At 54.3% G+C, this 21,134-nt stretch overlaps 3 protein-coding genes and 1 long non-coding RNA gene across 13 annotated transcripts in view, besides 9 other annotated features; 2 read left to right on the top strand and 2 right to left on the bottom strand.

Annotated features, from left to right (window-relative positions):
* PCSK7 (proprotein convertase subtilisin/kexin type 7) overlaps window positions 1–8,644 on the top strand; it is a 27,737-nt gene extending 19,093 nt beyond the window's left edge. For 2 of the 9 annotated variants that reach the window (NM_004716.4, XM_006718940.5), the window contains 5 exons: window positions 3,928–4,084; window positions 4,917–5,011; window positions 5,821–5,914; window positions 6,183–6,300; window positions 6,625–8,644. In NM_004716.4, the coding sequence (NP_004707.2) occupies window positions 3,928–4,084; window positions 4,917–5,011; window positions 5,821–5,914; window positions 6,183–6,300; window positions 6,625–6,984 (824 nt within the window). In that variant the 3' untranslated portion in view covers window positions 6,985–8,644. Of the gene's footprint in view, window positions 1–3,927; window positions 4,085–4,916; window positions 5,012–5,245; window positions 5,329–5,820 lie in introns of those variants that run through there. The other 7 variants (XM_047427861.1, XM_047427865.1, XM_047427863.1 and 4 more) reach the window with 7 other exon arrangements.
* Window positions 3,490–3,990: an enhancer, noted in NCBI's record as "H3K4me1 hESC enhancer chr11:117079707-117080207 (GRCh37/hg19 assembly coordinates)". NCBI's record gives its function as "activates a minimal SCP1, AML or CMV promoter by ChIP-STARR-seq in primed H9 embryonic stem cells {active_cell/tissue: H9 hESC(primed)}" and the evidence as "EXISTENCE:reporter gene assay evidence [ECO:0000049][PMID:30033119]".
* Window positions 3,991–4,491: an enhancer, noted in NCBI's record as "H3K4me1 hESC enhancer chr11:117079206-117079706 (GRCh37/hg19 assembly coordinates)". NCBI's record gives its function as "activates a minimal SCP1, AML or CMV promoter by ChIP-STARR-seq in primed H9 embryonic stem cells {active_cell/tissue: H9 hESC(primed)}" and the evidence as "EXISTENCE:reporter gene assay evidence [ECO:0000049][PMID:30033119]".
* Window positions 5,332–5,962: an enhancer, noted in NCBI's record as "H3K27ac-H3K4me1 hESC enhancer chr11:117077735-117078365 (GRCh37/hg19 assembly coordinates)". NCBI's record gives its function as "activates a minimal SCP1, AML or CMV promoter by ChIP-STARR-seq in primed H9 embryonic stem cells {active_cell/tissue: H9 hESC(primed)}" and the evidence as "EXISTENCE:reporter gene assay evidence [ECO:0000049][PMID:30033119]".
* TAGLN (transgelin) lies at window positions 5,516–13,687 on the bottom strand. Of its 2 annotated transcripts, none has more exons than NM_001001522.2 (5): window positions 13,152–13,687; window positions 9,788–9,979; window positions 9,497–9,674; window positions 9,097–9,199; window positions 5,516–8,766 (listed from the first exon to the last, which is right to left on the bottom strand). In NM_001001522.2, exons 2-5 carry the CDS (start codon window positions 9,965–9,967, stop codon window positions 8,622–8,624), a joined length of 606 nt encoding a protein of 201 aa, NP_001001522.1. In that variant the 5' UTR covers window positions 9,968–9,979; window positions 13,152–13,687; the 3' UTR covers window positions 5,516–8,621. The 2 variants fall into 2 exon arrangements, with proteins under 2 accessions (NP_001001522.1, NP_003177.2); NM_003186.5 differs by having other exon boundaries at window positions 5,517–8,766; window positions 13,549–13,611.
* Window positions 5,963–6,593: an enhancer, noted in NCBI's record as "H3K27ac-H3K4me1 hESC enhancer chr11:117077104-117077734 (GRCh37/hg19 assembly coordinates)". NCBI's record gives its function as "activates a minimal SCP1, AML or CMV promoter by ChIP-STARR-seq in primed H9 embryonic stem cells {active_cell/tissue: H9 hESC(primed)}" and the evidence as "EXISTENCE:reporter gene assay evidence [ECO:0000049][PMID:30033119]".
* Window positions 6,594–7,224: an enhancer, noted in NCBI's record as "H3K27ac-H3K4me1 hESC enhancer chr11:117076473-117077103 (GRCh37/hg19 assembly coordinates)". NCBI's record gives its function as "activates a minimal SCP1, AML or CMV promoter by ChIP-STARR-seq in primed H9 embryonic stem cells {active_cell/tissue: H9 hESC(primed)}" and the evidence as "EXISTENCE:reporter gene assay evidence [ECO:0000049][PMID:30033119]".
* Window positions 10,403–11,066: an enhancer, noted in NCBI's record as "H3K4me1 hESC enhancer chr11:117072631-117073294 (GRCh37/hg19 assembly coordinates)". NCBI's record gives its function as "activates a minimal SCP1, AML or CMV promoter by ChIP-STARR-seq in primed H9 embryonic stem cells {active_cell/tissue: H9 hESC(primed)}" and the evidence as "EXISTENCE:reporter gene assay evidence [ECO:0000049][PMID:30033119]".
* On the top strand, window positions 11,067–17,368 carry LOC100652768 (uncharacterized). The gene is made up of 8 exons (NR_045215.1): window positions 11,067–11,220; window positions 13,069–13,130; window positions 14,193–14,244; window positions 14,545–14,662; window positions 15,074–15,195; window positions 15,577–15,751; window positions 15,835–15,973; window positions 16,947–17,368. It is a non-coding gene; the product is annotated as an uncharacterized LOC100652768 (long non-coding RNA).
* Window positions 14,391–15,054: an enhancer, noted in NCBI's record as "H3K27ac-H3K4me1 hESC enhancer chr11:117068643-117069306 (GRCh37/hg19 assembly coordinates)". NCBI's record gives its function as "activates a minimal SCP1, AML or CMV promoter by ChIP-STARR-seq in primed H9 embryonic stem cells {active_cell/tissue: H9 hESC(primed)}" and the evidence as "EXISTENCE:reporter gene assay evidence [ECO:0000049][PMID:30033119]".
* Window positions 14,694–14,988: a silencer, noted in NCBI's record as "tiled region #8526; K562 Repressive non-DNase unmatched - State 12:CtcfO". NCBI's record gives its function as "represses a minimal TATA promoter and a strong SV40 promoter by Sharpr-MPRA in K562 cells {active_cell/tissue: K562}" and the evidence as "EXISTENCE:reporter gene assay evidence [ECO:0000049][PMID:27701403]".
* Window positions 15,539–21,134, bottom strand: part of SIDT2 (SID1 transmembrane family member 2) — an 18,700-nt gene continuing 13,104 nt past the window's right edge. Inside the window, exons 19-26 of the mRNA NM_001040455.2 lie at window positions 20,967–21,103; window positions 20,619–20,727; window positions 20,331–20,407; window positions 20,115–20,161; window positions 19,723–19,828; window positions 19,018–19,128; window positions 17,066–17,179; window positions 15,539–16,977 (exon numbers count right to left, since the gene is read on the bottom strand). Of these exons, the coding sequence (NP_001035545.1) occupies window positions 16,915–16,977; window positions 17,066–17,179; window positions 19,018–19,128; window positions 19,723–19,828; window positions 20,115–20,161; window positions 20,331–20,407; window positions 20,619–20,727; window positions 20,967–21,103 (764 nt within the window). The 3' untranslated portion in view covers window positions 15,539–16,914. The remainder of the gene's footprint in view (window positions 16,978–17,065; window positions 17,180–19,017; window positions 19,129–19,722; window positions 19,829–20,114; window positions 20,162–20,330; window positions 20,408–20,618; window positions 20,728–20,966; window positions 21,104–21,134) is intronic.
* Window positions 16,387–16,886: an enhancer, noted in NCBI's record as "H3K4me1 hESC enhancer chr11:117066811-117067310 (GRCh37/hg19 assembly coordinates)". NCBI's record gives its function as "activates a minimal SCP1, AML or CMV promoter by ChIP-STARR-seq in naive H9 embryonic stem cells {active_cell/tissue: H9 hESC(naive)}" and the evidence as "EXISTENCE:reporter gene assay evidence [ECO:0000049][PMID:30033119]".

Raw genomic sequence — 21,134 nt, 5'->3', positions numbered from 1 at the left:
ACTTTGGGAGGCTGGAGCAGGCAGATTGCTTGAGCTCATGAGTTCGAGACCAGCCTCGCCAACATGGCAAAACCTTGTCTCTACAAAAAAATACAGAAATTAGCTGGGCATGGTGGTGCACACTTACAGTTCCCAGCTACTAGGGAGGCTGAGGTGGGAAGATGGCTTGAGCCTGGGAGGCGGAGGTTGCAGTGAGCTGAGATCATGCCACTGTGCTCCAGTCTGGCGACAAAGCAAGACTCTGTCTCAAAAAAAAAAAAAAAAAGAAAAGGCCGGGCACGGTGGCTCATGCCTGTAATCCCAGCACGTTGGGAGGCCAAGGCAGGTGGATCACAAGGTCAGAAGTTCGAGACCAGCCTGACCAACATGGTGAAACCCCGTCTCTACTAAAAATACAAAAATTAGCTGGGTATGGTGGCACATGCCTGTAATCCCAGCTACTTGGGAGGTGGGAGGCTGAGGCAAGAGAATCGCTGGAACCCAGGAGGCGGAGGTTGCAGTGAGCCGAGATCGTGCCACTGCACTCCAGCCTAGGCAACAGAGCAAGACTTCGTCTCAAAAAAAAAAAAAAAAAAAGAAAAGAAAAAAAACTGTGATGTAATTATTTTGTAAATGTGGAGGGGACGACAACTGGGGAAAAGGTGTGGGCATGATTTGTTAGATTCTCATCTGCCATAAATGAAAGTCAATGCATAATGTCTCAAATTGATAAGCCATGAAATATCCATAACGCTTACTGTTTAGAAACACGAAAGTAGATCCCAGAAGAAAACAATTAAAAACAATAAAAAAAAAGTTTGCTTCTGGGGAGTAGATCTCAAAGGTGGTAGGGAATTTTTTTTTTCATTATAAGCACTGTAGCACCAACTTACATTTAAATTCATGCATACTATTTTAATAGAAAAAAATGTCAAGGACAATTGGGAAGGTAAGAAGTAGCCATCGTGAATCTAAACAGCTTTCTCAAGAATTTTGACAATACAGGAAAAGAAATAATATCTGATACATATGTAGCCTTAACATTAGCTAGGTACCATTCTGAACGCTTTAGGTATATTAACTGTTTAATCCTCGTCTCAAACCTATGAAGTAGGTACTGTTACTGGCCCCATTTTACAGATGAGGAAACAGTTCTCACAGCTAGTAAGTGGCAGAGCTGGGATTAGAACCCAAGCTTAGTGGCTCCAGAGCCCATGCTCTTAACACTGGTAGGTGGCAGGAAGTGAAGAACTGAGAAAGGGTTTATTTGTTTTTGTTTTTCATTTGTAGTAGGAAAGGTGCTAGCAAAAAGGTCTAGCCAAGAAGATGGATAATCAGGCTGAGCCATTGTTTGACTTTTGCCAAGTATTGCTGTGAAAGGACAAGAAAGTGAAGGGAGCTTGAGAATGTAAACACACATGTTGGATGAGCCATGGAATCTCAGCCAGTTAGGAGAAAGGAGCTTGAGGGGTTGTGGGAAAATGAGGGGGTCAAGAAGAGAGTGGGGAAAGTGGAAGGAGAGAGGTTGTTTTCAAAGAAATGGGACATTGGCTTTGAAGAGGTGACAGATGGAATTATAGAAAATGAGGCTGGGTGTGGTGGCTCGTGCCTGTAATCCCAGCACTTTGGGAGGCCAAGGCAGGCAGGTGGATCACCTGAGGTCAGGAGTTCGAGACCAGCCTGGCCAACACGGTGAAACCCCGTCTCTACTAAAACTACAAAAATTAGCTGGGCGTGGTGGCATGCGCCTGTAATCCCAGCTACTTGGGAGGCTGAGGCAGGAGAATTGCTTGAACCCAGGAGGTAGAGGTGGCAGTGAGCCAAGCATCTAGCCGCTGCACTCCAGCCTGGGTGACAGAGCTAGACTCCGTCTCAAACAAACAAACACCCCTGTCCTTGCTCAGTCATCTATAATAGCTCTTAGTTGCTTATTTAAAACAAAAATCTTTAAAGCGCATCCCACCCTAGGTTACCCAGCCCCTACTTTCAGTGCCTCTCTGAGCTACTGTGTCTGTAAAATCAAGGTATTGTACTCTGCCTTGCATATTGGAATAATTTTTTTTTTTGAGACAGGCTCTCACTCTATTGCCCAGGCTAGAGTGCAGAGGCACAGTCATGGTTCACTGCAGCCTCAACCTCCTGGGCTCAAGCCATCCTCCCACCCTCAACCTCCTGAGTAGCTGGGACCACAGGTGCTTACCACTATATCCAGCTAATTTTTTATTTTTTTGTAAAGATGATGTCTCCCAGGCTGAAGTTATCCTCCACCATGCCTGGAGTGAGCCACCATGCCTGGCCTGGAATAAATTAATGGAAGAAAGGGTGCTTTAAAAAGAATTGTATTCGGCCGGGTGCAGTGGCTCACGCCTGTAATCCCAGCACTTTCGGAGGCTGAGGCGGGTGGATCATAAGGTCAAGAGATTGAGACCATCCTGGCCAACATGGTGAAACCCCATCTCTACTAAAAATACAAAAATTAGGTGGCCATGGTGGCGTGCACCTGTAGTCCTAGCTACTTGGGAAGCTGAGGCAGGAGAATCGCTTGAACCCAGAAGGCAGAGGTTGCAGTGAGCCAAGATCATGCCACTGCACTCCAGCCTGGCAACAGAGAGAGACTCTGTCTCAAAAAAAAAAAAAAAAAGAATCGTTCTCATTACAGCCTAATTTCTTAATAGTCCCCAGTTGAGTCTTCCTCTTCAGTAGTTTTTTGTTTTTGTTTTTGTTTTAATAATTGTAGATTTACAGGAGGTTTCAAAGAAATGTACAAGAGAAGTCCCGTGCACCCTTCTCCCAATCTTAATGTTTCACACAATTAAAGTATAATATCAAAACCAAGAAATTGACATTGGTACAATCCATAGAGCTTATTTGGAGTTCACCAGATACACATGCTGTCAATATTTGTGTATGCGCGTGTGTAGCTGTATGCAATTGTATCACATGTAGCCTTGCATAACTACCACCACAACCAAGATCCAGAACAATTCCATTATCACAAGACTCCTTTGTGTTACCCCTTTCTGGCCACACCCATCCCCTCCCCTGTCCCTGGCCCCTGGCACCCATTTATCTGTTATGTATCACTGCAGGTACTTCAATTAACATCACCTAAATGGAATTGTGTGCTACGCATCCTTTTTCTTTTTTTTTTTTTCTTTGAGACAGGGTCTTGTTCTGTTGCCCAGGCTGGAGTGTGGTAGCATGAGCATGGCTCACTGCAATCTCCACCTCCCAGGCTCAAGCGATCCTCCCACCTCACCCTCCCCGGTAGTGGGACCACAGGTGCACACCACCACACCTGGCTATATGCTTCTTTTGAGATTGCTTTTTTCACTCACATAATTTGCTTGAAATTTATCCACCAGCATTTTTTAAAAATTAACTGTGCATCATCTTCAGTGAGATGTGTGCATTTCGTCTTTGTTCATGCCTTTTCCACTGCCTAGAATGCCCTCTACCAACCCTGTCTACCGATCTGTATTCATTTCCTTCAGTGTGTCTCACTGCTGTGTGCCTAAACCCATCTGACTTATTTCTCTTCCCTTATCAATTATGTATATTTCCCATACCATATCATTTTCCACTTGCAGGTAGGAGGCAGGGACCACGCCCATCTTATCTTTATATTCCCAGCATCTAGTACAGTGCCTGAAATGGAGGAGGTACCCAGTAAATAATGTTTTGGATGAATGAATGATTGAAGTTGCTCTGCTGGATTCTTATATTGTGTCTTGGGTATGTGTCGTCTTCCCAACTGCACTCGAAGCTACGTTGTAAACTTGAGAGCAGCAGCTCCATTCCATTTACTAGTATAGGCGAGGTCCCAGTTAGGGTTGCCGTAGATGTTTGTATGTGGCTTCAGTGAGCGTGTGTCTTTGTGTACGTGGGGGTGAAGTGAAGGCGTGTTTGTGGGCTGGTTTCCCAGCTGCCCAGCCTGACTTTCTACAGTCAGCAGGATGGACCTGGAGATGTCAGGGCTGAAGACCCTGGAGCATGTGGCAGTGACAGTCTCCATCACTCACCCACGGCGCGGCAGCTTGGAGCTGAAGCTGTTCTGCCCCAGTGGCATGATGTCCCTCATCGGCGCCCCCCGCAGCATGGACTCGTATGTACACCCGCCCGAGGCCTGAGCAACCTTTTCAGCAAGGGCCTTTCCAGGGAAAAGAAATGGAAGAAGTGGATCCTGGCACTGTCCTAAACTACTGTGGCACTGGCTATCCCTGGCGGCTGGAAGCCTTTCGTCACATACCTTCTTCAAGCGCTAGGCCCTGCACCTCACATACATGTTCTCTAATCCTTCTAAGAACCCCCTAGATTAGACTTTGTAACCTCCTTTTACAAATGAGGAAACTGGCTGGGTGTGGTGGCTCACACCTGTAATCCCAGCACTTTGGGAGGTCAAGGCAGGAGAATCACTTGAACTCAGGAGTTCAAGACCAGCCTGGGCAACAAAGTGAGACCCTGTCTCTACAAAAAATTTAAAGATTAGCTGAGCATGGTGGTACATGCCTGTAGTCCCAGCTACTCAGGAGACTGAGGTGGGAGGATCACTTGAACCCAGGAAGTCAAGGCTGCAGTGAGCTGTGATCATGCCACTGCACTCCAGCTTGGATAACAGAGTGAGACCCTGTCTCCAAAAAAAAAAAGAAAGAAAAAGAAAACAAGTCATGGAGCTAGTAAGTGCCCAAGAGAACAAGAATAAACCTAGATCCGTGGGACTCCAAGCCTGTGCGCGCTCCATGCTTGCTTTTTCCACCACACCACGTTAACACAATTTCCTCCTTCCATGAGACCCCAGGGGAAAGGGGCACCTGAGAAGCCCTCGTGGCACCCTCCCAGGTTGTTTCCACGGCTACTACAGTAAGAAAGTGTTGCTGGGGGAAGGTCAGCTCTCTGGCCCACGCCTTCCACCTGTTTCTGCTGTGTTCTTTCCTCAGGGATCCCAACGGCTTCAATGACTGGACCTTCTCCACTGTGCGATGCTGGGGGGAGAGAGCCCGAGGGACCTACAGGCTTGTCATCAGGGATGTCGGTGAGTCTCGTGCCCTCACACCAGGCCCTACCTTTCCTGCTTGTTATCTGGTCCCTCTGCATCTCAGAGTCCCCACAGAAAGTGTCCCGTGTGCAATATATAGGGTTGCCATTGGACCAAGAGAGTTGATGCCAAGAGTGTGCCCATCCGTGAAATGGGCATTGCTCTCTGCAACTGTTCATTTATACTACCTCTCATATTCCCTGGAGGAGTGACCCATCCATCTTTCCTCAGGATAGCAACAAAAAGTCCTTGTCGAAACCACATTTCAAGTCCTTTTACGTATAACCATCCTTCGGCCAGCCCCGGTAGGCAGGTAAGGGCAGGACTCATTTCACCATTTTTTTTAAACTGGCCCAGAGGTTTGAGGTGACTTGTGGAAGGTCACCATATCAGTGAAGGCCACAATATCCATGAATTGTGAATATCTTTAGTATCAGCCTATAGACTGGAAATTGAGCTCCACCCTCCCATCCTCCAGTCAGTTAGGTATTCTCTAGGCCAGTGGTTTTCAAAGCTTTCTTTAATTTGGTGGAAAGACATTTTTTTCTAATCCCAGCTGAACCCCCAAAATACGGGAGAGAAAAGCAAGACTCTGCTTTGGAGTACAGCCTTTCAACCCTTTCCATCCCTAAGGGCACCCAGTGAGGCCCTTCTGCAGAACCTGGGGTCAGTGGGACACAGTGAGGCAGCTCCTGGAGCAGACCATGTGGCCTGAGCCCCTTTGGGTGGCAGGGCGGGCAGGGCCTCTGCTGTCTGGCATGGCTGACAGAGGGGCGTGGCTCACGAGCTGCCCCTTGCTGCCCTAGGGGATGAGTCATTCCAGGTCGGCATCCTCCGGCAATGGCAGCTGACCCTATATGGCTCTGTGTGGAGTGCAGTAGACATCAGGGACAGACAAAGGTGGGTAAAGCCGCATGTGTCAGAGGGAAGGCCAGTCACAGGGGAAGGGCCGCCTAGGGAGCCCATCGCCCTCTGAACCCCAGCTGTGCTTCCCAGTTCCAGCGTCAAGCCGGTAGATGGAGCCCCGGGCTGGGAACTCACAGTCTGGGCCTCTCCTTTTTGCTGTGGGGCTTCCCTGTCTTCACCTGTAAGGCAGGAAAATGGGTGAGGGCAGATGGTATAGGAACCATAGTCAGTGGGGCATCCTCACCTCTTTTCTTCTCCACAGGCTGTTAGAGAGTGCCATGAGTGGAAAATACCTGCACGATGACTTCGCCCTGCCCTGCCCACCGGGGCTGAAAATTCCTGAGGAAGATGGTTACACCATCACCCCCAACACCCTCAAGGTACTAGGGCCAAGACTCAAGCTGCGGGTAGATGGGACTGTCCTGTCTGGGGGATGGAGTTCTTAGTGTGTTTCTCAGGGTGACCTGCGGGGTGAAGGACTGGGAAGACCTGGGTCCCAGCAGTGGTTTCATAGCATTGCTCCTACCCTGCTAGCCTAACTCTTACAGGACAGGCCTTGTCGGGGGAGGGGGCAGAGGGAACAGTTTGGGTGAAAAAGGCAGTCCCTAGAAGGAAAAAGACTTTCTGAGCTCATTGTCCTGGGCTGAGAAAGGCTGTAGGCTTCGGGAAACAGTGCCTCACGTAGGTGCTTGCCTCGGCCCCAGACCCTGGTGCTGGTAGGCTGTTTCACCGTCTTCTGGACTGTTTACTACATGCTGGAAGTATATTTGAGCCAGAGGAATGTGGCTTCCAATCAAGTTTGTAGGAGTGGACCCTGCCACTGGCCCCATCGGAGCCGGAAAGCCAAGGAGGAAGGGACAGAGCTAGAATCAGTGCCACTTTGCAGCAGCAAGGATCCAGACGAAGTGGAAACAGAGAGCAGGGGCCCTCCCACCACCTCTGACCTCCTTGCCCCAGACCTGCTGGAGCAAGGGGACTGGAGCCTGTCCCAGAACAAGAGCGCCCTGGACTGCCCTCATCAGCACCTAGACGTACCGCACGGGAAGGAGGAGCAGATCTGCTGACCTCAGGGCCTGACAGTGTGGGACAGGCTCTTCTTTCCCAAAATTAGGGAGCTCTTGACAGAAAGCAGTTCTGATGCTTACATCTGGAATCTGAGGCATCCTCTGACTCCACTCAAAGAGGGTGAGGGCCTTCTTAAGATACAAATGGTGGAGGATTGCTGCCAGAGAAGTCTGGTCAGAGCCACAGGGTCTGCCTCCAGCCAAACGGGAGCTTTTGGTGAGAAGGTGTTGGACAGGGGATTGGCGCCCCCCTTTGGTTTGGCCTCCATCCTCATCTCTCTTGGGCCAAGCCAGCTGCCTAGGTCCCCCAAGCATGGGGGACCCCTTCCCACATATAAGTTGAGAAGGTGCCTGCCATAGCCAGGAGCGCATCTCAATGGAAACATCACTGGGGTCACTTGGGAAGAGGACTTCGGGGTAGAGGCTGGGAGGAGCCCCTGGACATGCCTGTCCTGAAAGCGGCTGCCTCCATTATCCATTCCCAAGATGCCTGATCAGAAACCAACCATGAATGAACCCCTGGCTCCTTCACCACCCCCACGATTGGTATGATGCTGCCGGCACAGCTGGGATACACACGGCTCCCCCAGGCCTGAGCTGCTTCACTAGGGAATCCTGCGGCAGGACTGCAGAGCAGATGGCAGATGCACATGTTGGAGGAGAGAGCCTTGGGAGCCACTGCCACTCCAGTCCTGCCACCACCCTGTCTTCCTCTGCAAGTGCTCAGGGAAATGGCCTTCCCGCCGGAGGCCAGCTATCTGCCTGACAGGCTGTGACTCTTCTCTCAACCTTGGCCTTCTCCCCTCTTCTGAGCTAGTTGGTTGAATTTTTTTTAATGCTTAAGATTTGTTTTTCTCTTTTCACAGCAACATTTTCTTGAATTTTTTTCTGCACAGCTTTTCCAAAATAAAAACCTTCCAAACAATTCTGCCACTCGCAATCTCTCCTTTCCTCTGTCTCCCCAAAGCCACTGCATGCTGCTGAGTGGCTCCTTTTTCCCTTCGGTCCCCAAGATTCACTCTCCTGTTCTATGGCCTGTTTCCTCTGAAAGAATCTGACTGTCCTGGAATCTTGGCACATGAAGGGTCCTTCAGAGGACGGCAGCCAGGAACACATACAAGCCCGAGATGCCTGCCTGTCCCCTGCGCAGATCTGAAACCATAACAAAAGTGACCAGGGCAAATCAAACTCTGCCAGCCAGGCCTGAGAAAAGATTGATTTTTTTTTTTTTTTTTTGAGTTCCAACCCCAAAAATATTCCAGGACAAGATAGGGGGCAGGCTGGGCTGGTTCTTCTTCAATGGGCTTTTGCCGCCAAGGAGGACAGTGGACTTGGCCCACATCCAGGCTACCCCCAGCCCGCTTCTCCCCTGCTTAGCCCAGGGAGGAGACAGTAGAGGTGATGGGGGCAGCCGGGAGGGAGGGGCCAAGGCAGTGATGCTTTCGGGTAAGAAGTTGGGCTGAGGCTGGGGGCACAGGGAGGAGCTGCCCAGGTGCAGTTACCATTGCTCAGTGACAGAGCCTCAAAGCTTGGCCAGGGCTGAAGGTACCACACGGGTGTGGGTGAGGCAGGCTAAGCGGGATGGCTGCAGCCAAGGAGCTGGGGGAGGGCCGGGCTCAGGGCTAGCCCTCTCCGCTCTAACTGATGATCTGCCGAGGTCGTCCGTAGCCTGTCATGCCGGCCTGGGAGGCCCCTCTGTTGCTGCCCATCTGAAGGCCAATGACATGCTTTCCCTCCTGCAGCTGGCTCTCTGTGAATTCCCTCTTATGCTCCTGCGCTTTCCTAGAAGAGGAGGAACCAGGATAAAGACTTGGTAGAACTGTGTGTTTTCCACCCGTTTTCTGATCCCTCTGTTACGTCCTAGCCCAATCCCATTGCCTTCCTGTTGCACTTTTTTTCCCTAATCTAGCTTGCCTCATAGGCTAGGGAGACTGAGCGCAGGAGGGTGGAAAGGGAGGGGTCAAGGAGTATTAAGGACCCATTATTCCCCATCCCAGACCCTCACTTTATCCTTTCTTGGCTATCTGCTTCCCCTAATCCTTCCCGCAAGCTCCTTAGAACAAGCCACCTCCCACCCCATGCGGAGACCCAAGCTCCCTGGGGGCCACATACTTCATAAACCAGTTGGGATCTCCACGGTAGTGCCCATCATTCTTGGTCACTGCCAAGCTGCCCAAAGCCATCAGGGTCCTCTGCACTGCTGCCATGTCTTTGCCTGTGAGAAGACAGGAGAGAGGAGATGAACATCAAGAACGTATAAACAAGACTCCAAGCCAGGGCCTGCCCCCGTCTCTCACAAAAAAATGGCCAAACCAGGGCCAAGAGTTGTCCCCAATTCAAGGGAGGCCTCTCAGTGGGCCCTGTGAGCGTGGCGTGTTATTCTCGGCATATCCCATCCCTGCTGTGTGCGGGCAAGCACACCCCTAGTTGTGGCATATTCTGGTCATTCCCTCTCCCTGTCCCAGCACCCTGTCCTCCTGCCCACCTCCTCCCCCAGCCTCTTCCTCTCTACCTTCAAAGAGGTCAACAGTCTGGAACATGTCAGTCTTGATGACCCCATAGTCCTCAGCCGCCTTCAGGAACTGAGCCACCTGCTCCATCTGCTTGAAGACCATGGAGGGTGGGTTCTCGGGCACCTTCACCGGCTTGGAGCCATCAGGGTACAGGCTGTTCACCAGCTTGCTCAGAATCTACCAGGCATAGGGCATAGGACGCAGCTTAGCAGTCAGCTCAGGGATTGGCCCAGGACTCACAGGGTGGCACACCCCAGCCCCCCAGCGCCCTAGCCCAGGGTGCCACTCACCACGCCATTCTTCAGCCAGACCTGGAAGCCCAAGCGCCCACGGTCTGGGCGGCCCACATCAGGGCCACACTGCACTATGATCCACTCCACCAGCCGCTCCTCCAGCTCCTCGTCATACTTCTTCTCGATTTTGGACTGCACTTCGCGGCTCATGCCATAGGAAGGACCCTTGTTGGCCATGTCTGGGGAAAGCTAAAGCAGGCCAGGGTGGAGGAGGGAGGGGCAGAGGGTCAGGGAGCAGCTCTGCTTTCACCCGTGCCAGGCAGCCTTCTAGCTCTGTGCAGGATACCCGGCCATCCTAGACACTTGTCACAGCACTGCCCATCCAGGCCAGGCTCAGCCCCTACTCCAGACACCTCTCTGAACTTGAACACCAGGAAAGAGGATACCAGGTCTTTGGAGGTCTAGAGCAGGGGTCAGTAAACTGTTTTTGTAAAGGATAAGACAGAACATATTTTAGGCTTTGCAGGACACATGGTCTCTGCTGTTGCAGTGTGAAAGCAGCCATAGACAATATGTAACAAATGAACATGGCTTTGTTCCAATAAAACTTTACTTACAAAAGCAGACAGCAGGCTGGATTTGGCCCATGAGCTGTAGTTTGACAACCCTTGGTCTAGAACATTCTTTGCCAAGACCAGCTACAGAGCCACTGGAGAGACCTTCCAGAAGCCACATTGCCCCCACAGAATACAGCCAGCTGGTGCCTTTGTCCAGCTGCGGGTGTGAGGGTTTACTGCCTCTGCCTCAAGCAACCATTACCTCCCACTCTCACCCAGAAGCAGGCCCTGGCCTGGAAGCCCGAACTCCAGAACTCCAGCTCTTTTCAGGTCAGCTCAGCTTCTGGTCTGCAGCTGAAGAGACTAAAACTCGCCCACCCCAGGCAAGGGCGACGAAGCCACCAAAGCCCAAGAGTTCTTGGCAAAGAAGCTGCATTTCCTCAGAGAAATCAGAGACACCTGGTCTACCCATCGACTTCCCCTCATGCCCTTACGCTCTCGTAAGGCTACCCTTACGGAGTAGCCTGAGTAACCAAGAAGTCAGAGTCCCCCAGGGATCTTCCAGAGCCAAGAGTCTGCCTGCCAGGGAATGGGAAGCCTGGCCCCATCCAGCAACTGCCACCCTGAGGGCCTGGGCCTGGCACTGCTCAGGAGTCCCACTCATGGAGAGGGGTGGCAGCAGGAGTGGGCCAGGCAGGTAGGTCCCTGGGCAGACAGACAGGGGTGGCTGGGAACAGGAACAGGAAACTGACCTGTCCACTGATGTCACCCTAGGGTGCTGTGCCTTCTCTCCAGTGTTTGTCTGAAGAGACTTCCAAAAGAGGTACCAAAGGAAGCCGAACCCATCCCCTGGCCTCAGAGGGGTCAGAGGTTGGGAGGGACACGCTGGTCTGAGGATGGACGCAGGAGCGCACTCCCCCGGCTCCCTCTCTGGTGAGACCCCTCCCCACTGGCACCCCACCCGCGGGAAGCAGAGCCAACACTATCACACCCCACTGGTCCCAGGCCAGCTGCCCAGCCCGATGCCCTGCCCTTCCTTTCTCAGGGCTGACAGGCTTTCTGGGCTGGAGTTCCTCATCTGTGAAGTGGGGGTTATGTTACCAACCTCAGAGGGCTGTGAAAATGGGACGGTGTCTGTGAACTCCCTCACATACTGCCTGGCCCTTAGCAGAGCTCCTCGAAATGTCAGTTCTTTGCTGCCCGGAGCCAGGCTCCTGGTAATGACCAGGGAGAGAGCCTGCCCTTGACCAAGGAGTGAAAAACTGACCTCAAAATGTCAGTTCTTTGCTGCCCACTCCAGCCTCCACCCGCTTCTCACAATCATTCCCTGAGCGCGCAGCAGCTCACACGGAACAGAGTTCACACGGACTCATCGAAGTGCCCGTCATTGGGCATCCCTCTCCTCCTTGCGTCTGTTTCCTTATGTGTAAAGTGGGGGCAGGACCACTTCTGAGGACCCAGTTCTCTGAGCACTGGGGATGAGGTGGGCTCCTGGCCCAGCCACCCCTCTCCCTGCCAGTGATGCCAGAGACCCCAAAGGCAGAGTGCTCTGTTCTGCTGTTCAGCTACAAACAGCCAATCCCTCCCTTCACCCTGTGTGTCCCACCCCCGCTCCCCAACCACCCAAGGACTCCTGCACAAAGAACTGTGGTCCAAACCCCCAAGTCAGCTGGGACCAGGTGATTTTGGTAGCCCTGCATCCTGGCTTCCATCCACCCCAGCCTCTGTCTCAGCCTTTGCACCACCATCCCAGACAGGCATCCACCTTCTGTCTCTGGCCCTGCTTCTACCCCCACTCCACCTGCCCTCATGTCTGCCTTCCCCTTCTGCACCCCTGCTGGGCTCCTGAGGAACAGGATGGAAGGAGAGTGTGTCCCCTACCCCCAGCTTCCAGTCTCAGGAGGGTCAGAACAGACAATACAGGTCAAAGCAGCAAGGCTAAGGGTGACAGGTACACAACGCTGCAGCCCCCAGATCTAGAGACAAGATTAGGATTTCGGTCAGAGGGGGATGAAGCACACACCATCCCCACTCCCACCCAGCACCACCATCCTTCCCCTTCCTCCTCCTGGGTCAGGGTCGAAAAGTGGAGAATCCCCAGAAATCCTTTAGAGTCCTCTGATGAAGCCTCCCGAGTCCTGCCTTCGAGCCAGTGGGGAGGGGGAGAGGAGGATGATTACAGGGCGGCCCCCCCAGGGGCATCTCAAGACACTCCCAGGACAGCATGGACAGGCATGGACCCTCCTGCCCTGTGGCTCCTGCCAGGACCCCTCCCCTGAGCTGCCCAGTGGGTGAAAGTGGGCAGTGGAGAAAGAAAGTCCAGGGTCAAACGGGAAGGTGGCACCCCCTACCAGCAGAAGCCCAGAAACACGAGCAGAGCCAGGGGCCCCTGCAGGGCTGCTGTGCCCCTTCTCTCTTCCCAAATAGGAGTGAGCACACCTGGACCTCTGAGAGGGCAGGAGGGTGGCTCCTCTCCACTCCACGGACAAACAGGAGTGGCCTGGCTACATAAATGTGTGCCATCCTCACTGCTACCTTTGGAATAGCAACTTCGAAAGGGAACCACCCTTTGGGAAAGACCAAGGGTCCCAGGCCTGCCCCGCCTATCACTCCAAAGCTCCTCCTTGGCAGTACCCGCCCCCCACCCCTCTGCTACAGTGGGGGTGACCTCCCACTGTCAGACAGTGGAAGGGGCTGCTTGTCAGAAGGACAGGCCTTCCGTCTCCACTCTTTGCCCCTGACTGGAATACAAGAGTTCTGTGGCCCTTCACATTGTCACAGGGCTATCGCTGCTGCTCAGGCCCTGGGGACCCGCCAGAGTGGGACACCGTGCTCCAACACAGGTGCGTTCACACACTCCTCACCTCCTTGGAAGTTCTCCTGGAGGGGCAACAGACAGTAGAGCCTTGGCCTAACCGGCCGGCGCCTGCACCCTTACACACACCTTGTGGATGTGGCTGGCTGAGATGGGGAGCCTCCCTCTCACCCCGGTGGTTTCCATCAATTCCTCTGCACTAGCCAAGTCATCCGGGGCATTTCAATGAGCCCGGGGCTGCCCAGTCTGAGAGAGATCCAGGACGCTAGTGATCCAGCCCACCCTGCCTGGAGCTTGGGCCCCCATGCTGACTGAGAGGGTGGGTTTCCCTAGCCAGGGAGCTGGAGCTGGCGCCTGGGACCTCAGGAGAGCCTGCCTGAAATGCACCCACTGCTCCTGTCCAGCTCCAGCCCAACTTCCCTCCAAGCCCCAGCCAATGCACTCACAAGGCTTCCTCAGGGCTCGCAGGAAGGAGTGAAGACTTGTGTCTGGGTTCGGACAGACAGGATGGGGCGCTGGCTGGGTGAGGGGTTTAAAGGGCTGCCGCCGTGGTGATGTCAGCCTCCCCCACTGGCTCGCTCCTCGGCCCCCTCCCTGCTAGAGGAAGCCGGCTCCGCTCCCCACCCCCGGCTCCCCCAGTGACTCCACACAGGCTCCATATTTGGGGAAAGACACCAAGTTGGAGCAGTCTACCGGGGCTGCCGAGACATTCTCTGCATGCTTTGGAGATGGAGCGGGCCGGGGCGGGGCACGCTGCCGGCGGGGAGCCGGCCCGGGAAAAGCCTTTTATGGACAGGACCCTGCCCGGACTTACGGCTGCTCCTACTTCACTGTTCTCTGGCCCCGAGTTTGAGAAGAGGGGGAGTTCAATAGAGTCTGGCTGGAGAGAGGGGCAAGGGGCTGGGGAGCCGGGAATCCCAGGGGTTTGTGGGGACAAACCAGCCACCCTCTCCTCCTGGGGCTTTTAGCTCTGATGGGACATGGGATCCAACCTTTCCTGAGGACCTACTCCACACCAGGCCCTTTGCAGTGCTCTCATTGAATACTCACAGCTACAGTGTGAGGGTGTAATTACATCCCCATTTTATAGATGAGGAAACTGAGGCCCCGAGTGCGTCTTCCTCAAGGCCACATGGTGAATGGTAAGTGGCAGATCCTGCACACCTCTGCCAACCCGCATGGGTGCAGGAGAGGTGGTCAGACCCACCCTTTCAATTGGACCACCCTGCTCAGGTTGAGAAGAGCTTTCAGTGCAGGTAGGTCTTGAGTTATATGCTTTAGTTGGGGCTGGGATTTGAGGGTTCGGCAGAAGCTGAGTCCAACTCCGGTCCCCATCCAGTGGGCAGTGTCAATAAGAGGGTCTATAAGGCCTGGCAGGGCCTGAGACACTAACGCAGGAGAAGGAGGCTCAGGAGGCTGGTATCATCCCTTCCTCCCTTTAGGAACAGTCCCTACCAGCCTGGAAAACAGACCAGCCTCTGTCACTCCAGAGATAACCCACTCTCATCTTGCTCGTACCTGGCTTCAGGGATCTTGGGGAGAGATAAGAGGTTAAAAAAGGTGAGACTAACAGTGGGATCCCTGGACTGACTGCTGTGGCACTCCCCTGCAAGGGCATCTGGTAGGGAAGACCTAACACTCTCCACTACACACACACTGCCACACCCGGCACCACCCCTAGCCAAACAAGGCCCTAGGAGGGGGCTGCCAGGCCTGGCAGAGGAGGGGCCCGCCTCCGCAGTTCTGCCCACTGCAACTGGACATGCTCCAGAGCCCAGGGGAGGCACAGCCATAGCACCTCCCAGTGGCGCCTGCAGGAAAAGCAGGAAGAGGAGTGGGCCCTGGCGAGGGGAAAGCCCACTCCTCCATCCCTGACCCTGCAGACCTCTGGTTGTGTTCTGAATTCAACAGATTCCTTGGCCCCCAAATCATGTCCTCCTTAGCCGACTGAAGTCTAAATGAATCTTTCAGGGACATATCAAAACTCCCTCCTCTTGGAGCCTGCCCAGCTTTCATCACCCTCCTGCCTCGGCCTGCACGCTGAGCGGATTATAAACGCCGCATCAGGGAGCACTGCTTGGGCCTGTGGCTTGGTGAGCTGGGGGCCGCTCAGGTCAGAGGTGAAGTGAGCCTCAGTCTGGTGGGCGGGGCCAGGTGGGCAGAGACTGCTGTTCCTGGGGAGGTAAGGAGGGATGTCTGCAGTGGGATGGCGTGGGAAAGGCTTTTCCAGGAACTGGCCTCTGTCCAGCACAGTGCCCCGGTAAATGTTTACTGAATTAATGCTGTTGCTGGAGGGACAGGAAAAACGGGAGAATCAAGGAATTGCAGTTCCCAGTAGGGCCATGGCTTGAAGAATGGGGAAATGGAAGACCTCCGCCTCTCCCCTCATCCTCAACAGCTCCACCCAGAGGGAGTGCAAACAAGGGCCCCAAGAACTGAGTCTGGTTGTTTATTGAATGCAAATTCATTCATAGAAAACGGAAATGCAACCATAGCATGGAGACGCTCTGAGAAAAGATCCAGACCCACCTCATCTCCCAGCCCTTCAAGCAGAGCTATAAAAACAAGTTTGGGAGAAAAACACATTCCCATCCCCAAAGCAGAGGCCCCGCCTGAGCTCCCCCATCCTCAGCATCTGGGGTGGACCAGGTGGGACGAAGGGGATCCAAGGACCAGGGTGGCCAGGGTGCCCAGAGCTGGGGCAATTCTTTGTAAACTCCAAGGTTTCATAGGTATGTGTGTGCATGACTAACACAGAACTTGCCTGAAGACTGGACGGAAACTTAGAAGCCAGCCCTGGGTCCTAGAGCGAGGCTAGGACTGGGCACGTAGAGGGAAACAGCACATCCCTTCCTGAAGCCCCTTTCTAAGGTAGGCACTGGGGTGCCCACAGCTGTGGAGGCAGAACGGGCTGAACTCTGTATCATCCCTCCTTTGCCCCTGGACATTCTTGGGCAGTGTCAATGGCACTGAAAGGCCACCAGCTGGGGTTTGGCAAGACTAAGGGCCTGGAAAGAAGGAAGGGAAGGGGTGAGGCGCTTCTCCCTCCAGTCCTGGTGCTGGCATCAGTCTGGGAGCTGATGGGATGAAGAGGTGACCTCTGAATTCAGCCTCTTGAATCAGAAGGCGGTTCTCAAATTGGGCTGAGCGCATTGCTAAAGAGCCAGCCCTGAGCACAGGTCAGAGGGAAGAGAATACGCACTGCCCCAGGCCCCTTGCAGGCCTTAGCACCAAAAGTCTGGCACCAGCTGGCCAACCCCCAAAATCTCATACCCCCATCCATCCTGGCTGACTGGAATGGGCAGTGATGGCAGCCAGGGACAGCCCAAAGAGAACTGGGGCCCTGATACAGGACAGAGATTCAGGCCCCAGACTAGGCCCTGGAGTGGGAGTATGGGAGGAAAAAGAGGCCTTAGGTCCCAGGCTGGGGCATTGTGGGGAGGAGGACGGGCAAAATGCAAGGCATGAAATGGGGAGGGTGTCCCTTCCATCCTTCCTCTTGCAAAGGGACAAATGGAGAGCCAAAGGACAGGGGCCCATGGAAGGCCCCAACACTGAGAAGAAAGCAGCAATTTGGCCAACATCTGGGGGTTCCAGGGGAGCAGGCCTGCTCCTCGGCAGAGGGCAGCTGCAAGGTTCCATGCCACCCCATGGCTGTCCCAGGCCAAGCCTAAGCTAGACCTGGCTGTCCTGCTGCCATCCAGTGCTGGGCAGCGGTGCTGGGACTCATCCCCACAGCACGACAGAGTGACCGGTCTATGACACAAAGGAGCTCAGGGCCCCTTGAGGTGAAGCGAAGGGCCCAGCTCCTGCTAGAAGACATAGATCTTGTCCCGCTGCACAGTATCCAGGTCGTCATCCAGTGTCAGCAACACCTGGGGTGTGGACGCCAGATCAGCCACAGAGAAGGAGGCAGCTGCTACCTTCACGTACCCACCCGGCTCGGCCGGGAGGCCCGCTTACCAGGAAGGACCCGAACATGGCGATGGAGGAGAGGAAGTGCCAGATGTCGTGGTCGTCAAAGAAGTCGAGGAGGATGCAGTCCCGGTTGTGCTCCCTCGACTCTGCAGGGGTTTTCTTGGGGAGCAACAAGAAAAACTGCCGAATGACCCTGCTCTGGCAGGGCAAGGGCCAGACCCATCTGCCATCTTGCTCCTGGGCACCCCTCTCTCCAGCCCCAGGCAGGACAGCAGCAATTCTGACCTGTCCCTTGTCCTTGTCCCTACCCCTTCCCGATCTAACAAATGGCCTTTGGTTACAAACTTCTCCCTGAGTTCACTGGCTTCTCTTCCCTTTTCTTTCACTCTTACCCTCCTCCTTCCTTCTGATTCTCTTCCCTTGACCTAAGAGCACAGGGTTGCAACAACCTTGAAGGCCTTCAGCTCAGAGATGGCAGAAGGCCTTCTCACCCACTTCCCGGCCTTGGACTCCGCCCTTGCTCTAATCTTTCTGCAGGCTCATTGTTTTTTCCAAAGCACTACTGTCAGGTTACACACCTGCTCCGGGACAGTAGCCATAACCTGTGGCACTCAAGGTCCTCCCTGCTCTACTCATAAGCTCTATCCCATAAGCTCATCCAGGCTGTGTCTGTCTGTGCTACATGCTGAGGCCACAGACATAACCAAGACCTGCCCCACCCTCAGGGAGCTCACAGTCTGCCTGGCTCCCAAATGAGTGCATTCACTGACCTCCAAATCTGCCCCTGTATCATTACTAAGGTCACAGTAGGTCTGGGCCATGGGGCTCTTCTCCATTACCCAAGACTTTTTTTTTTTTTTTTTTTTTTTTTTTTTGAGACAGAGTCTTGCTCTGTTGACAGGCTGGAGTGCAGTGGAGAGATCTCAGCTCACTGCAACCTCCACCTCCCGGGTCCAAGCCGTTCTCCTGCCTCTGCCTCCCGAGTAGCTGGGACTACAGGCGCCCACCATCACGCCCAGCTAACTTTTGTATTTTTACTAGAGATGGGGTTTCACCATGTTGGCCAGGATGGTCTCAATCTCTTGACCTCGTGATCCACCCGCTTCGGCCTCCCAAAGTGCTGGGATTACAGGCGTGAGCCACCGTGCCCAGCCCTCCTCACCCAAGACTTTTATAGCCCAGAACAAGGCGCACTTTTTCCAGGAAGCTTTCCTGGACTCCTAACTCGGAGAGACCCGTTAGTCCTCTGTCCTCCTGCCCCGTCTTGCCTGTGCCCTTCATTTCATGTATCACATCGTAAACAGCACTAACAGTCATGCACCAACAGTCCTTCTAGCCCTCTTCGGCTAGTTTATGAGTCCCTCAGAGACCATGTCAGACTTAGTTCTATTCCCAGAATTAAAGCCTGACATGTGGTAGGTGTCCTGCAAGGCAGAGAAGAGAGCCAAGCCTTGCTGGCTTCAAATGCCAGCTGTGCCACTCACTGGCTATGTGCCCTGGGGAAGTCACTTGGCCTCTCTGAGCCTCATCTGTCTCGTAAGTAAACTGGAGCTATCTCCAGGCTGGAATGCTAGGAGGATTAACTGGGGAAGCCGCTATGAAAGTGCTGGCCTATGGTAGGTGTTCCCAAATGATGTTTAAAATTTTTTTTTTAGAGACATGGCCTATCGTCCAGGCTAGAGTGCAATGGTGCAATCTTGGCTCACTGCAGCCTGGAACTCCTGCACAGGCTATCTTCTTGCCTCCGCTTCCGAGGTAGCTAGGACTACTGGTGAATACCACCACGCCAGGCTAATTTTTTTATTTTTATTTTTTTATTTTTTGTAGAGACGGGTTCTTACTATATTGCCCAGGCTGGTCTTGAACGCCTCAAGTGATCCTCCTGCCTCAGCTTCCCAAAGTGCTGGGATTACAGGTAATCCCAGGCTCAGCCCCAATGTTTAAAAAGAGGACTGGCCACTTGTTGGCTCACAAGGAGCCTGAGGGTGAGTGCTCACCTGCCAGGTGCTGAGTCCCTGGAAGAAGAAGAAGAGCGCGAAGCCCCAGACCACGGAGGTGCAAACGATGCAGAGCAGGGGGATGAGCTTGATCCTCTCCCCACTCCGGAGCTGGGAGGGGCCAGGCAGGGACAGCAGTCTGAGGGCTTACCCCTGTCCCACCCCGCTGTCCCACCCAGCCTTTCCCAGATTCCCTTTCCTCATGGCCTCCCAGGCCTTCAGGACTGCTCCTTGGATTCATACCATTCCGCACAACCACAGAGCTCAACCTGCCCCCACCCCGATGTCCACCCCACCCAGCCTCCATGTATCCAGAACCCTGTGTCGGGACAGTGCACTGGCCTCAAGGCGCTCCCTATGCAGGGGGCTCCAATCAGAGTGGAAGGCAGGATGGTTTCTGGGGAAGCACCTGATCCTGAGAGGCCCACACCCTACCTCCCCTCAGCCCCTTCTGCATGGAAAGGGGCACTTACAACTGCAGCCTAAAATGCCACCTGTTTCAAGGGCCCTTGGAAGGGGCTCAGTAAATGGTCTTTGGGCTGCAGTTGGCTCCCAGGGGCCCATGCAAGAGGCTTTAGCCTCTCCCCTCCGCAACCAGCAAAGATGGGACAGAAAACTTCTCACTGCCCCTCAATGCTGCCGGGCCCATCTCTCTCCCCAGATAGCAGAGCAGCTGACAGAGGGGGCTTGGCCAGCCCCACTCACCTTCATGATGATGTAGAAGGCGAAGTAAAGGAGCAGGTTGCAGATGCCAATGGCCAACAAGTAGGAAGCGAAATCATTGGGGCGCATGATAAGCCCATAGGCAGCCCTGGCAAGAGGGATGAAGGGTGGTGAAGCAGGAAGCCCAAGGGCAAGGAAGTGCTCTTCCTGCCCTGCCTAGGCATGTTTTATTATGATGTTGGGCTGTGTTCAGAAGCCCACAGAAGATTCTAGAAGCCCAGATGCCAAGAGAGAGAAGAGAGGCCAAGATCTCTCTTAGCCCCCATGTCTTATGCCCAACATTTGGAAGTTGTCCTTAGCCCCCAAGGCAGCCAGTGGCTGACCGAGTCCCCAGCTGTCCACCCAACCAGGCCACTACTGCTGACCATACTCACAGCGACCAGTTGATGACGTTGCCCATGACCAGCAGCACCATGCGGTCCTGGAGGGAAGCAGGGACACAGGGACTGAGGGCAGGGGCAGGGAGGGTGGTGGAAGAAGGCCCAGCCAGCTGGTCCCCACTCTCCCCTGGGTCCTCAGCCCAGCCCCACTCCCCCATCAGAGGGAAGAAAGGAGATGTGGAGAATGGAGCAGGGGAACCAGGCAGGTACCACGTAGAGCGGCCCGCTGCACTGCCGGATGCAGTCTGTGTAGAGCACGTGGAGGATGCGGCGGAAGATCCCCGAGTCTGCGAAGAGAAGGGAGTGGTGCTGACAGGCACGGGGCACCCTCCTTTGCTGGACCCCTGGGATGTGCCAGCTGAGGAGCCCAGGCCTGATCTAATTCCTCACCCAGTGACTCCAGGGCCCCCAAGACAGAACCTGAGCGTCTCCCGTGCGTCCGGGTTCCCAAGGCCCCCCAGACCCCTCCCCCAGGCCCTGCCCCGGGCGTGCCCTTACCCAGTTTCCACCGGCCCATGTAATAGAGCTGCGTGCTGAGGAGCAGGGTGGCGATGATGTGAATGATGGAGAAGACGATCCAGAACGCCGTGTTCCCTTTGCCAAAGACCTGTCGGGAGGCCACCAAGGGCAGCGGTGAGGGTGGAGAGGGAAGTGGCTCGGATGGCCCACCCTTCCTGGGGCTGGCTGCTCAGCCAGGCTGGGACTCTGAGAGGGGCCCAGGAAGGCATCTCAGGGAAGGAGCAGGAATCTCTCATGCAGGAGGTGGCGGAGGGTGTGCACTACGTGTCTGAACGCACGTGCACCTTTCCTATCATACAGGCTGAGCAGAGCAGGTCAGGCCCTCACCACGCCCAGCACAGAGAAGAAGATGACAATGGCCAGGCAGGCGTAGGCACTGTAGGCGCTGGCGTTGATGTCCGGGTGCCGCTTCTGGTAGAGCTTCAGCATGCAGAGTCCGGCGATCATGTACATGAACGATGTGTCTAGGATGAGGGACACGGAAGGGAGCTGCAG

This window comes from Homo sapiens, chromosome 11 (assembly GCF_000001405.40).
Source record: "Homo sapiens chromosome 11, GRCh38.p14 Primary Assembly".
Lineage (NCBI taxonomy): Eukaryota > Metazoa > Chordata > Mammalia > Primates > Hominidae > Homo > Homo sapiens.
Note: the sequence above shows the minus strand (reverse complement) of the source record. Positions and strands in the feature narration are given on the sequence as shown.